Source organism: Homo sapiens, chromosome 5 (genome assembly GCF_000001405.40).
Source record: "Homo sapiens chromosome 5, GRCh38.p14 Primary Assembly".
In the NCBI taxonomy this organism is placed as follows: Eukaryota; Metazoa; Chordata; class Mammalia; order Primates; family Hominidae; genus Homo; species Homo sapiens.
Window position 1 is genome coordinate 100,852,364 of NC_000005.10, and position 13,978 is coordinate 100,866,341.

The 13,978-nt window shown below is 34.2% G+C and overlaps 1 protein-coding gene across 3 annotated transcripts in view, besides 1 other annotated feature; it reads right to left on the reverse strand.

The window, feature by feature from the left end:
* Positions 1-13,978, reverse strand: part of ST8SIA4 (ST8 alpha-N-acetyl-neuraminide alpha-2,8-sialyltransferase 4) — a 96,350-nt gene that overhangs the window by 45,431 nt on the left and 36,941 nt on the right. For 2 of the 3 annotated variants that reach the window (NM_005668.6, XM_005272078.4), the window contains exon 4: positions 3,740-4,033. The exons of the other annotated variant lie outside the window; for it this stretch is intronic. In NM_005668.6, the coding sequence (NP_005659.1) occupies positions 3,740-4,033 (294 nt within the window). The remainder of the gene's footprint in view (positions 1-3,739; positions 4,034-13,978) is intronic. 3 annotated transcript variants of the gene reach the window in all.
* Positions 983-1,102: an enhancer, noted in NCBI's record as "active region_22848". NCBI's record gives its function as "activates an Ori minimal core promoter by ATAC-STARR-seq in GM12878 lymphoblastoid cells {active_cell/tissue: GM12878}" and the evidence as "EXISTENCE:reporter gene assay evidence [ECO:0000049][PMID:35858748]".

The window sequence follows — 13,978 nt, forward strand, 5'->3', positions numbered from 1 at the left end:
CACGCACCTTGGCCTCCCAAAGTGTTGGGATCACAGGCATGAGCCACTGCACTGGGCCCAAAATTGCTCCATTCTTTATTAAAAAAAAAAAATACAAAATGTTAATTTGAAAAATGCAGCCCATGTGTGGGGCTTCTGAAGAAATACCAGTAAAAAAGTGGCAATCCCACACCAATTTTATGCTTTCATACATTCTCTTAAACTTGCAATTTATATATCTGATTTGTCCCCATTAGATTACTCTCTTACTATTTTTCAAGATTCTTTTTAAATTATGAATCTACCTATATATCTTTTCCTTCTGTTTTACTGAATATGGTTTCAAAAGAATGACAATATATTACAACAATACCTAAGAGTATCTGAATTTTGTGACTGATGGTTTCATCTTTAGAGCTTTTAGAAAAATCTAAAATTAAATAGGTTTTTAAAGTTAGTAAGGAATCACAGTTTTTGGAGGGCAAAATGTTTAAGTAATGATGTCTGACCATATGAAAACTATCTAAATGATCCTCACTGTGTTCAGGAATCTTGTTTTACAAATCACTGAAACTTTTTATTTTAATTGCAGTACTTGGAAGAGCCTTCACATTTTAACATTATGATTATACACACCCTAAATTCTGTGTCTTGGGTGCTTTAATTGCTCATGAGAGGCAACCAACTCCAGTAATCAACAGAGGATATGAAACTTCTTATTTTGCTGAACTGTATTAACCACAGGGTTTCAGAGAGGTAAGTCAAAGGAGATGTAAAACAGTTACTTAAAGAATAGTTCTTTGGGGAGTTTGCCTTTGCTTTCATATCACAAAAATCATTTTTGTTTCATCAGCGCTCACACTTCCTTATTTTCATTTACAGTTCCAGCAGCAAGTACACACATTAGGTCAAAACGCTATCTTACATACATCAATGTATTAGTTTCAATAAAATCCATAAATGAAGTTGCCTTTCACACGTACACCATGTGTACAAATTTCCATTCTATTTGAAAAGTCACAAGCCTCTCTAGAGCTACTTTCATTATTCTTGGCCACAGTTTAGAACTCAATACCTTGACACTTTAAGAGGGTATATGTAGATTTGTGAACAGGAAGGTGGAGAGAGAAGTTATTTCTACAGAATTCAAAATCAGTTTAGAAAATATGCCTAATTCATAGTAACCAAAAAAAGCATACCATTCCTTTCACCAGTGGTCAGAAGTTTGGCCTTGTTGCTCTTTGGAATAAAATGGTTAGGAATTAGTGAAGTAGTTTATATTTATAATGGTTATAAAAGTGAATAGGACAAAAGATAGGAGTCTTGTTAAATTACTAAAAGAATCTGCAAAGTTTATGTTTAAAATATCTGTAAAAACCCATGTGTATTCACTGTTAATCATATATAACACTATCTGGATTCTAACTTACTGAAAATGCACTACTGCAGTCACTCCTCTTATTTCATGCTTTGGTTTTGGTATTGGATTGAGAAATATAAACCAAAATCTAGGAAACAAAGGTACTAATTCAGAGTAATCTTAAGTTTTCTCATTAGTTTTCCATAGTCAGGGAGGACTTACTTCAGATTATTTCTTTCTAAAACTTAATCTGCTATCACTGGAATGTGTTTGTGTGTGTGTATGTGTGTGTGTGTGTGTGTGTGTGTATGTTTAAGATGGAAACATTATCTTTTTAAGGTGTTTTTCAGAGTAACATGATACCCAAACAAAAACAGACATGTTCTTAACACAATGCACTGTAATGTTACAGTTTCTTAAGATGCACATTTTTTTAAGAGTCAAATTGTAATTACCAGGGATATTTGTAACTTAAAAAAAAAAGGCGGTGACTTACTCTCCAAATGCAGTATTTTTATCTTATTTTGTTGAAACTTCCTGTCAACCACCAAGAGAATGTGTGTTGAGTAAACATGATCTAATTATAAGAATGCAATTTAGGCCAGGCACGGTGGCTCATGCATGTAATTCCAGCACTTTGGGAGGCCGAGGTGGGTGGATCACGAAGTCAGGAGATCGAGACCATCCTGGCTAAGACGGTGAAACCCCATCTCTACTAAAAATACAAAAAATTAGCCAGGTGTGGTGGCGGGCACCTGTAGTCCCAGCTACTTGGGAGGCTGAGGCAGGAGAACGGCGTGAACCCAGGAGGCAGAGCTTGTAGTGAGCCGAGATCGCACCACTGCACTCCGGCCTGGGCAACAGAGTGAGACTCTGTCTCAAAAAACAAAACAAAACAAAACAAAACACAAAAAACAAAAAAAGAATGTAATTTAATTGTGTGCAAAATAATACAATACAAGAAACTATCTAGAGATTTAAACAGGAAATGGTAAATCCTTGCAGGAAATTATCTCAGGAACAAAACAAAAATACCTTAGCCCAGTTCCTATTACAGTATAAGAAACTATTTTTAAGTCTGGGCTTGGAAACCTGTTTTTTTCAGGACTTGTATCCATTGTATTTAATTGGCCCCCTGAACTTGCCCTTCCTTTCCAAGTCCACTGCTTCTGTCTTACATCCTTATTATCTTATGAGTAAATTAATCAAAAGCCTAATTGGTTTTTGTGCCTCTGGCATTTTTCTTGTCCCTGTCAAATAAATGTCTGCAGTTACAAGATTTCTTCTTAAATTCAGACATCTAACTGTGCTTCATAGAGCATAAACTCAATTCCCTTCTCAACCACATCCCAAGTTACTTTTCCAACTTTGTATTCCCATGTTCCACAACAGACTCCATTATTCCATACGTTTACTGTGCACTTCATCATTTGCTTGACCTGGTACCCTCTAATAATGCAACAGCATTTCCTTCTGTTTGGTTTTCTTATTCTCTTTATTTTATCCCTCTGGCAATTGCTATTCTGTTTTTAAAGTCCAGTTCAAATGTTTGGTCCACTTTCCAAGTGTCTTTGTGAACCTGAGGGACAAATTATACACCTCTGACAACATATTCCCCTATTAGGCCACTAGTGAATTGTATATGCCTCTGTCTGTACCATAAAGCCTATGCATTTTTTAAAGGTAGTGATCAGCTCTTCATTTTTGAAGCTACAGTATCTGACACTCAGTACACTTCCAGTAAAAATACATAATTTCTCATCTGTGGTTTATCTACTTTACATACTTATATGTGTGCATGAGTGAATTTGGCCTTTTGGTCATTTGCCACTTTTAAGCAAGAGTTTATATTTTAATGCTTTTTTCTGAACTTGTGTTAATAAAAGGGAAATGTTGGCTTAATTCATTAAAACAGCATCTGTGACTTTGGGGGGAAGCATTAAGGCATTTTATCGCAGCCAGCCTCCTTTCTCACTACTAGGCCTCTTGGCTACAGATGGGACTTAATTGCTCCTTAAATATATCTAACATTTATGCTTACACAATATTGCCCACTAGCCATTCAGCACTTCTGTTGTAGTTTCCCTACCCAAAGCTCATTAATTTTACTATGAATTCTTATTACTTTTTAGTGCAAAAATATAAAAATTAGTAGTTTGTTCATGAACACACATAAATAAGTGCCAGGTTCAACAATTTGCTTTTTCAAAAAAGAGGGTGAGTTAAAATCATATCGTACATAAACAAACTTCAAGTTTGTAAATAGAGTAACCATTATAAAATAACGGAAACATATATCCATTTGGAGATTTTACTGAAGCTTATTCTTGTCTAGTGAAAATGTTTAGTTATATGTGTTCCACTGTGCCAAGGACAAACTGGTCCTTTCCAGTCACTTACCCTCTGACAGCATGAATAAGTCTCAATGACGGATAGGCAGTTCGCACTTTCAGTTTATTCTTAAGGATTAATGCATTAACCCACTCCACGTGCTTCTCTCCTCCTTTGACCATGAAAGCAGGAATCCAAAGGACACTGTCATTCAGCATGGAAAGTCTATGCACAAATTTTTCTCTGTCACTCTCATTTCGAAAGCCTCCAAATGCTCTTTGTACAACTGATGGATTCATGGTAATAAAATCTGATTTAGTTCCCACATCTGCAGCAAACTCCACCACAGGAGCTAGATTACACCTGAAGAGGAAAAAATTAATGGGACAAATGAAAAAAAAAGAAATATTCACTGGTAAAATGGTGTTCATGAAAAGAAGAATGGGAAATAAGCATTTTTTTAACCATGTGAAAAGAAAACCAAAAGATCATCTACTTGGTAAGATTACATTTTCAATAAGTCTCCGCACGTGCAGGAATACTGCCTGCAATAAAAATATACAGTCCCAGTACAGGGCTCAAAATGCCTCTTGTATGAATTCAACCTGTTGTCTAAGAATATCCTTTGCTATTATCTCATAAAACCACACAATTTGAATTTGTAATCAGAGAATTTATGATGGTAAATTCACAAGGGTTCTTTGGCCATTCAGTAGTCAATTTAAACCACATGCTGCTCTACAAGTGAATAAAACACATTGGACTTGACATTCTAATCTGCACCACTTGTAAAGCTTAAGTCATTTCAACAACTTTGTAAGTGTAAGGAAATAAAGTTGGCTTTACTTACACACTGAGGTTAGGGGAAAAGTGCAATTCCTTATAGTGTTTTACACAAACATATTTACAATTGCTTTCTATAGGTCTAAATGGGGAAGAAAAATAAGAAAAGTGGAGATGTCATATTTAATATGACTTTCTGGGGTTTTAAGTAATATAGAAAAGCTCTTACTATAAGATCAAATATCAGCCTTCCTGTTATTTTAGGACATCCTCAAAATATCTGTTTTCCCTTTTCGGACGTATGCATCCCTGGGGAATGCATATGTAGGGAAAGAACAGAATATGCCGTACTGTTTTCTCCACTAGAGCCATAAGGTTTTGAAAAGAGCTTGGGCCTGATGTTGTTTATATAACCTGTTATTTATATTTATATAATCTAATATAACATTCTTATATTAGAAGAAAGCTTTGAAAAGCACCTTGAATTTGGCCTTTAACCAATTTCTGATGCTTCTTTGATCGGTCACATAGACCTTTTTATACCTGATTTTAAAAATAGCTTCATTTTTTTTTTTAAAAAAACTATTTTTAACTTGCTTTTAAAAAGGTAGGTTTTAGTTGATAAAAGAAAAGTTAGATTTTGATAAACAAGAGTTTACTGTATTGGGAAAAAGTTGTTTGAATCGATTCAATCAAACCCTTCATGAAAATATGAAACTATTTTTAATACTTTTATCAGCCTTTCAAGGGAAGGGATTTTCTTTTTCTGCATTTTTGCATGTTTGGCTACATTATGAAAGTTCCTTACATTTCTCTTCCTTGTGTATTTTGTCACATTAATTGAATTATTAAACATTTTAATTAAAAAGTAAAGTATGTGTTCTGATACTAAAAATACTGTCTTATATATCGTTCCTTATCTCTCTTAATTAATATATCTTGTTACTTCCTAGATCTCCGACAATATTTAGCTACAACAACAAATATATTTCATCTCAAATTCTCTGTTATTTAGGGTTAGCTACTGAGGGAAAAATATTAACACAATAATATTATTTAGAAAGTATAAAGATTATTATCTTTTCAATTTGGGTATCTTTAATTACATCCACTATATTATATGACAGAGTATGTATTTGTTTCTACTCATGATTCATACCACTAATTATTATTAGATATTATTCATTCTCATTATGGTAAGAATATTACAAACAGGACTACCCAGAAAAAGATTTGCTGCATGCGAATACTTGTCAAAGTGAACACCTTCTTGTGGAACTCAAGGAAGATCAAGGACTTGATCATTTTAAAGTCCTAAGATGTGCTCTACACAAATATTAAAAGTAATCTAAACTCCTAATGAAGCTAGTTATCACATGAATTTGGATACTATGGGGAAAAGTATATTCTGGACATCATTATTACTGACACTTCTTTAGGTAAAATAGGGAGAATACATGTAACATTACAGTTAACATGTTCCTGTTGGGGAAGTGGCTTTGGACATATTTTTCCACTAAAACAAACCCTCAGTAATTTCTTTTTAGAGGATTCCAATTGTAGAGAAAACAATATTTGTACTTTATTTTCACTATAATAGTAAAACTAGTAAAAACCAACCCAATTAAATAGAATAAAAATGATATATTCTGCTGAATTATCCCTTCAGGAAAAAAATCACTCAATTACTGTATACTTTTTCTTGCCACATCTTTAAACATCCCACCCCCTATCCGTATTTGCCAATACCCACTCTTGATTTTCTGGTCATGAATTTCTCAAAAGGTGGTAAGATGCTCATCAATTAAAGCTGAAGGCTGAAAGATAAATGCTTTCCACTTTGAAAGCAAAAAGAAGCTAATGGAATAAGAATATTTATGGAGAACAGATTAATTTAGGAAACAAACCAACATATTTGATTTAATTAATGAATGCTAAATGAGTATGGTGCTAACTAAAGGAGCAATTGGAGATCAAAGAGTAACAAATCCACATGCAGAGTCTTGAGGATCTGAGCAGAGCACAATCAGACTTTGTCAAGGATAGTAACTGAGGTACAGGAAATAACAAGACAGAAGACACTTCATAAAATACAACGCTTTGTGGTTTTAGGAGTCCAGCTTGTTCATTTTCCTGGGGAAGAATATATATACATTTTCCCTGGAAAATAGAGTAATACAATGTCCACATGTTGCTGGTAAATTAACAACTCTGTGGTTGAGTCAGATTTTTAGTCATATAATTAGCTGAATGCCACTTATTTAAAAGAAAGCATTAAAAAATCAAAAATAACCAACGAGCTGTGTTGCACTCCAGCAATTCAGTAGACTTGTTGTGAGCATCCAAACATTACTAGCAGCAAAACTGCTGATTGAGCAGGATTATGAATATATTTGCCATCACAATTTTCATTTTTCTTTATAAAAAATTCCTTAGAGGTTATAATATTCAAAATTAGCCAGAATGTGTCTCAAGCATTTATGAGTAATACATGATACTCATATTACTCTTAATCTCATAAAATAGAGGAGTAGCCAGTTTTAAAATGATGGACTTTGGTGAGTCAAAATTGTTGAGTGCATATAAACATTTAATAGAGTCAAACAACATTATCTTTAGCCAATTTAAATATTTGTGCCCATTTTATATTTGACATGTTGAAAACATATACACAGAATTAGCTGTATTAACAATACTCTTTATTTACTCTAAACTTCCCAGTTCTCAATTTATTTGTGTTTATTCTCCAATATTGATTAAACACCTACAGGAATGCAGCTAACTCCACTGTATTCTAAGCCTCTGAATTTTCTTCCATGATTTCACACTGCATATGATGGCTTCTCATCCCTACATGCAAAATTGAAGGTACTTTCATGTTAATTTAAAAGTTATATAAAATATTTATTTTAGAATTCATAGGGAATAAATGTTTATTTCATGTGTGAGCACCTCAAGATTACAGAATTCCCTAGCAAAAAATCTCTCTTGGATTGGCCATTATTCTCTGCAGTTAAATGATACTTCAACAATGTATGCAACTAGGAGATCCCACTTGCATTTATTAACAGGCATTTATTGAGAGTTTGTTTTGCAAACACTACTCTAGAAGCTCAGACTTTTTTTCTAGCTATTTAGTTATTTATGTTATTTAACAATGACATAATCTATCCAATTTTTTAATTCTACATTTTTTAATTCTACAACGTATTGTATGTATCTGTGCTAGGTATAGAACTCATCATCCAAAACTGGAGTAAATACGGTGTAAAACATGGTGTTCTGTAATAATTGGAGGTTGTCACTTACATCCTTTCACACACCCAACAGATTAAATAAGAAGAAAACAATTCTAGGTGTATTATAGACCAAATTTTCCCCACCTTTGTTAATATTCAGACAAATTCCAAATACATAATTATCATCCTTTTTCTTTTTTGGCCAATCCCACTGTGTTGCTTCCTGTGCTAACTGACATCTCTCAGCCAAAACATTATTACCTACGGAAACACCTTTGTCAATCCACTGTGAAATAGGAACCAATGTCTTCTCTTTTCTGCCCCTAAAGGAAGCTTATTGATCCCGTTTGCTCCCATCTTGTTTCTCAGCTTGAGGAGCAAATAGAACAAAAAAAATCTGTTAGCTGTCTTTTCTTAGACTTTCTGATTACTTTCTCAAAATTTCTGTGGAAAGTTGGCACATGCGACCTGCCAGTCTCTTTGACTTTCCTGTCATGAAGGTTGTGGGCTCCACATAGACCTGAAACCATTCATTTTGCTTTGAGGTAAAAAGTAGTATCAACTTCACTTTTAGATGAGAAACTAAGGTTAAAGTGGTTGAGAAACATGTCCAAGGGCATATAGGTTATAAATGAAAAGCACCATCTAGTTTGGAATCATTCCAGGACAGGAGTTTTAACTGACACTATTATACATATGAGTTCATTCAGAAATGTGATAAATGTCTATAAATTCATCCTGCACACAAACCTTCCTATAGAACAAAGAGTGTTCTATCATTTATCCCTAGCTTTTCATCTCAGATTCCTAAGACTCAGGTATGTTATTCAAGGCCATTCAGCCATGACCTTTCCCAAATTTTGAGCAGTTATTAAACAAAAGGTTTTAAACATCTAAAACATAAATATAATATCTATACCTCAGATCTCTTGATAGACAGGATTTCAAAATGATACTAGAAAGTATTAAATAACTAATTGATAAGACTTTTGAAATATTAACCATAGGATTAAAATGGACTTTCATGTGGTATACCATAATGTAGTAAACAAAATATAAGAAATAAAGTTGAAATATCACATTAAACATTTGCATGTTCAGTATGATGAATAGGCACACAAAATACACACATACACACACACACACACCACATTTTATGCTTTTAACAATACCAATTGTTGAAATTCTCAACTTGATAGAAATACAAACAACACACATCATGAAAATAATGAAATGACTAAACAGAAGAGGAAATTTTTCACAAACCCAGGTTCGTTAACATTACTGGCAAGGGTGGGAAGAACAGTGTCATAATTTCTAGAGAAATTCACAGAATGAAAATATAATCAAACTCCTTCTAGCAAACAAAGATCTGCATACCAAGAAATATGTTAGACTGTGTCATTCCGATACTTCTGTGAAAAGAAAAATGGAATCATCGGTCAAATTTGCTATAACTGCACAAATTCTAGAGAATAGCTTAGATTTGGGAGGGGAGAAAAAGGGGAAGCGTGCCAAGGAAAAATATATTGTTTAATTTAAATAAAAATGTTAAATATATACCTCATATTTATCCAAATTTGGCTTAAACTTTAAGAAATAAAAGATATTTAGCTTCATTTCTATTCTTAGCTATTTGATCATCAGTAACCATGTGGGCAATGGAGTTCACATCAATCAAGTTACTTAACTTGTCCAAGCTTATAACTCTTTTTTTACTTCTTCCTTTATTGAAGTATAAGTGACAAATAAAAATATTTCAGAGATTCAAATTTTTCTATAAATCAGGCTAACACTGATGGGAACTGTACTGGGAAAATTAAATGAAACAAAATATTTGGAATGCCTCTCAAAATTCCTTGCCCTGGGTGGATAAAACATATTAGATTATGCTAATTCCTTTTACATGCTCTTTCCTTTTACAATCTATTATGATAATAAATCTTTTGAAATGCATGCAGGTAAGTTAAAGGCATGTCAAATAAGATCTCTGAGCAACAGCGTAAGGAAGCCCAAACTTTATTTATAACACATTTAGTAAGCCATTGTGGCTGAAATTTACTTTTGATCCCCTAGGAATTGAGACTTGAATGACTGATGGGGCCAGATTGCAAATATTTTAAATATTAGATGAAACAAATTTGACTCCATAGGCAGTGTGGAAACTTTAAAACTCATAGACATGGTCAATTGTACTTAAAAAGAGGAATATGACTCAACTGTTCAGGAGAATAAGGCCTCCCAGTTACAATTTCATAATAACATAATTCACATAGAAGATAAGAAAAATATTTTATTGTTGCTCTAAGAAGAATACTTAAATTTTTAAAATATTTATTTCTTTATTTCTTTATTTATTTTGAGATGGAGTCTCACACTGTCGCCCTGGCTGGAGTGCAGTGGCGGGATATCGGCTCCCTCCTATCTCCGCCTCCTGGGTTCAACTGATTCTCCTGCCTCAGCCTCCTAAGTAGCTGGGATTACAGGCGCCCCCCACCACCCCAGCCATTTTTTTTTTGTATTTTTAGTAGAGACGGGGTTTCACTATGTTTGTCATGCTCGTCTTAAACTCCTGTCTTCAGGTGATCCACCCGCCTCTGCCTCCCAAGTAGCTGGGATTACAGGCATGAGCCACCGCACCTGGCCGAATACCTTTTATTGAACATTTGTTATGTGCCAGGGAGCATTCTCTGTGCTTTGCATGTAATATATGTGATTCTCACAATAAGCCAATGAGACAGTCACTATTGCTGTTTTCCAATGATAAGGAAACTGAGTTGCAAGAAATTTGTCCAAGAGTACATAGTTTTAAGTAATAGAGGCAGATTTTAAGCTCATGCTCTTAAATATTATGTACCACTTAATCCCTAAGAATGGAAAGGAAGCAAAAAATAAATACAAAGAACTTGGTCAAAAGTTCAGTTGCATATGTGCAAGTGATATGGCTGTGACTTCTATCACCTTGTTGAACCTCATGTTTGGTCTGAAAGTCTGATTGGCTAAAGTGAAGGTTTCATCTTTTCTCAGTCTTCTGTAAATCCTCCTCCCCAAAGGTAGGGTCTTGGGTGGATAATCCCAGCATGCAGAAAGTCACTCCCAGGTAGGAATATACAGAAGGTTGTGCTCCTCTGAAAAGCCACCAAAGAAAACAGACATAGGAAAGAATGTGAAGGAAAATAAAAGGTTGATTCTGAGATTTCCTATGATGGAAGTGTGGGAAAAAGTTAGGTAATTAATAGTAGATGCACACACACTAAAGGAGGGAGGGAAGAAGGAAGCAAGGAAGAAAGAAGAAAAATGACCCACTTCTGAGATGCCATTTAAAAGTACAGTACTAAAATTCAGAACACATGAATTCAAATCAAGACTCTTTACAATAAAACCAGTGGCCCATATTCTCTTCCCTAAAATAAAAAGTTGTTCTAGGTGAAAATGAGAAGTAAAATCCACTCATGGAGTTTAATTTTAAAATAAATATATTGAAATGTGTAAATTTTTATCTTCTTTCTCTTCAAAAGATTTATATCATATAAGAAATGTACCCAGTATGAACAACTACACATAAACAAATGTTATTGCTGAAATAAAAAAATCTTCTTTAGCATTGGAACTCAAGTCTTGAAATAAATAATAAGAGGATACTGAAAGCATTATCTCAAAATATTATGAGGTCGCTAAAATGCTATTAATATCTTTAATTTATTTAAATGTAATCTAAAATACAATTATCTTTTCTGATATAAAGCAATGGATTAAAATAAGACATAAAATTAGAGAGTTATCCCAGGACTTCAGCTACGGACAAGTGGTAAGGACGGCTCTGTCTTACACTGTCTTTATTCACTTCAGCATATCAACAGAAAAGAATCTGTAAAATCAGGAAAGGTGCTTTTAGTCAGAGTGCTTACTTGTGAATCCACATTTTAAATCAAACTAAAACTTCACATTTATCAGCTTTCTCCTTGGAGACTTGAATGGTATGACTAATTACAAGTTAGCACTTGTTTTTTCAAGAAAGGATAAAAAATAGAGCATATTGTAAAAGGAACCAAAAAATGAATAAATTAAAATGATAAGACATCATAAAGACAACAATTTGTAAATACTTTTATCAATTAAAAAGAAATTCTAACAGCATCTGGTTGTCAATGTATAGTTGCTTGTAATAAGTAATACGGAGGGTAAAGCGTTAACTGCTGTTCTTTATCTGGGACTTCACAATATATTTATAAAAGCGGGCCGGGTGCGGTGGCTCACGCCTGTAATCCCAGCACTTTGGGAGGCCGAGGTGGCTGGATCACGAGGTCAGGAGATCGAGACTATCCTGGCTAACATGGTGAAACCCCGCCTCTACTAAAAACACAAAAAAATTAGCTGGGCATGGTGGCGGGCGCCTGCAGTCCCAGCCACTTGGGAGGCTGAGGCAGGAGAATGGCGTGAACCTGGGAGTTGGAGCTTGCAGTGAGCCGAGATTACGCCACTGGACTCCAGCCTGGGTGACAGAGCAAGACTCCGGCTCAAAAAAAAAAAAAAAAAAAAAAAAAAAAAGCCAACAGCAAATTCTGAAATGGCAACAAACTTCAGGTTCTACTAATGCGGGGAGGTATCTTGTCTCGTTCATTACTTATTCCCACTGCCAAAGTATCTCATAGTAGGTGTCCGGTAATCATTTTGTAAAGTTCTCTCATTTATTAAATTCAGTACAAAGCACATAGCAATATCAGTGAGACATAACATACACATAACTGAATACTATATTTTCAAAATTGTATCCCACAAAACAACCAATTATTATAATGTTTATTATTTAATTTGACTACTTGTGACATTTGCATAGTGTTTCTTAAATTTCAGTGAAGTCTATTTCCTTTGTTTCTGTTCTTATCTTGTCCATACCTAACTCCCAGAAACCGACTCTGGCTTAACTTAGAAAAAGTGATTTATTGGAAAGCTGGCTGGACCACAGAAATCACTAAAAAAATCATAGTCCCCGAACAATGGTTATGTCCCTGTCAGGGATACCTCAGCATTTCTCACTATCAGGGAACTCTGAACTTCCAGTTTACCCAGTTTTCTTACCCCATATTTCACTAGCCAAAGTCATAATTAGGAAAATGTGGTTAAACTAGTTTTGACCACATTTCTGTCCCTTTGCTGCTAGGCAGAGAGAAATGAAAATATTGATCAATTTTTGCTTCTGTAGTGGACAACAGGGCCCCTTTCTACATTTTTAAAGATTAGCCTTAAATAACAAGAAATTGTCAGATACTGAATAGTTTTTTAAAAAGGCAAAAAAATAGTCCAATTGATCACTCCGTATTATTAATTTTTCCTTGTTGGCATTTTCTAGATTTTTGTTACTAGACATATTCTCTCTCAATTCACACCTCACTTCTTGCAGGAGATCAACTACTCTAACTCTTCAGTTAGCATGGTTAAGGAAATCTTTATCTTCAACTCTAACTCCTACCTGAGTTTCAATCAGTTACTGAACTCCTCAGTGACTATCCCAATGATATTTCAAATCAGCATGTTCAAATTGAAAACCATTACCTGTAGTGTTCTCTTTTCTCTTCCATAAACTTCTTGTTTTTTTCTTTATTTTCTAATACTATGTCACTATTACTTCTAGTGTCACCAAAATACAAGCATCTCAGAGACTTCTCACACTCCCTATTGTATTCCCCATATCTTCTTGGTCATCAAATTCTGCCTCATATATACTCCTTTTACCACCAAAATGTGACCCTTCCTATTTACTCTTCTTGCCACTGTCCAATTTTAGTTACGCCTTGCTTAGATTTTTTTTATAATTTAAATGGTCTTACAATCTTTAGTCTCATACTCCTCCAATCATCCATGCACATTTACTAATTATGAGAATTCTGTTTGATGAGACTTCCTGTGAATGAAATTTAAAATGTAGTGTTCTGGAATGTCAGTCTGCTTTAGAAAGCATAAGCTTGCCCCTTAAGCTTGAGGACACATGGGCCTGGCCAATAGTAATTCTCAGTGCCTTCAGAATTAAGAACCAAACCTTAGATTATGTCATTTTAACACTGGTTTTACTAAGTGCTGTCTTGTATTCATTGACACAATGTTAACATAGTGTCTGTCTCTCAATGAATTTATCACACTGTGGATTAATTACATAGTTATGTTAGTTTCTTCTACCAGACTATGGATTCCTTAAACATATCTATTTTCTCTTTATGTTTCCAGGGCCTATCAGTCAAAGCCCAAAATATAGGAGAAATAAGATATGTAAAATATTTGCCAAAATGAA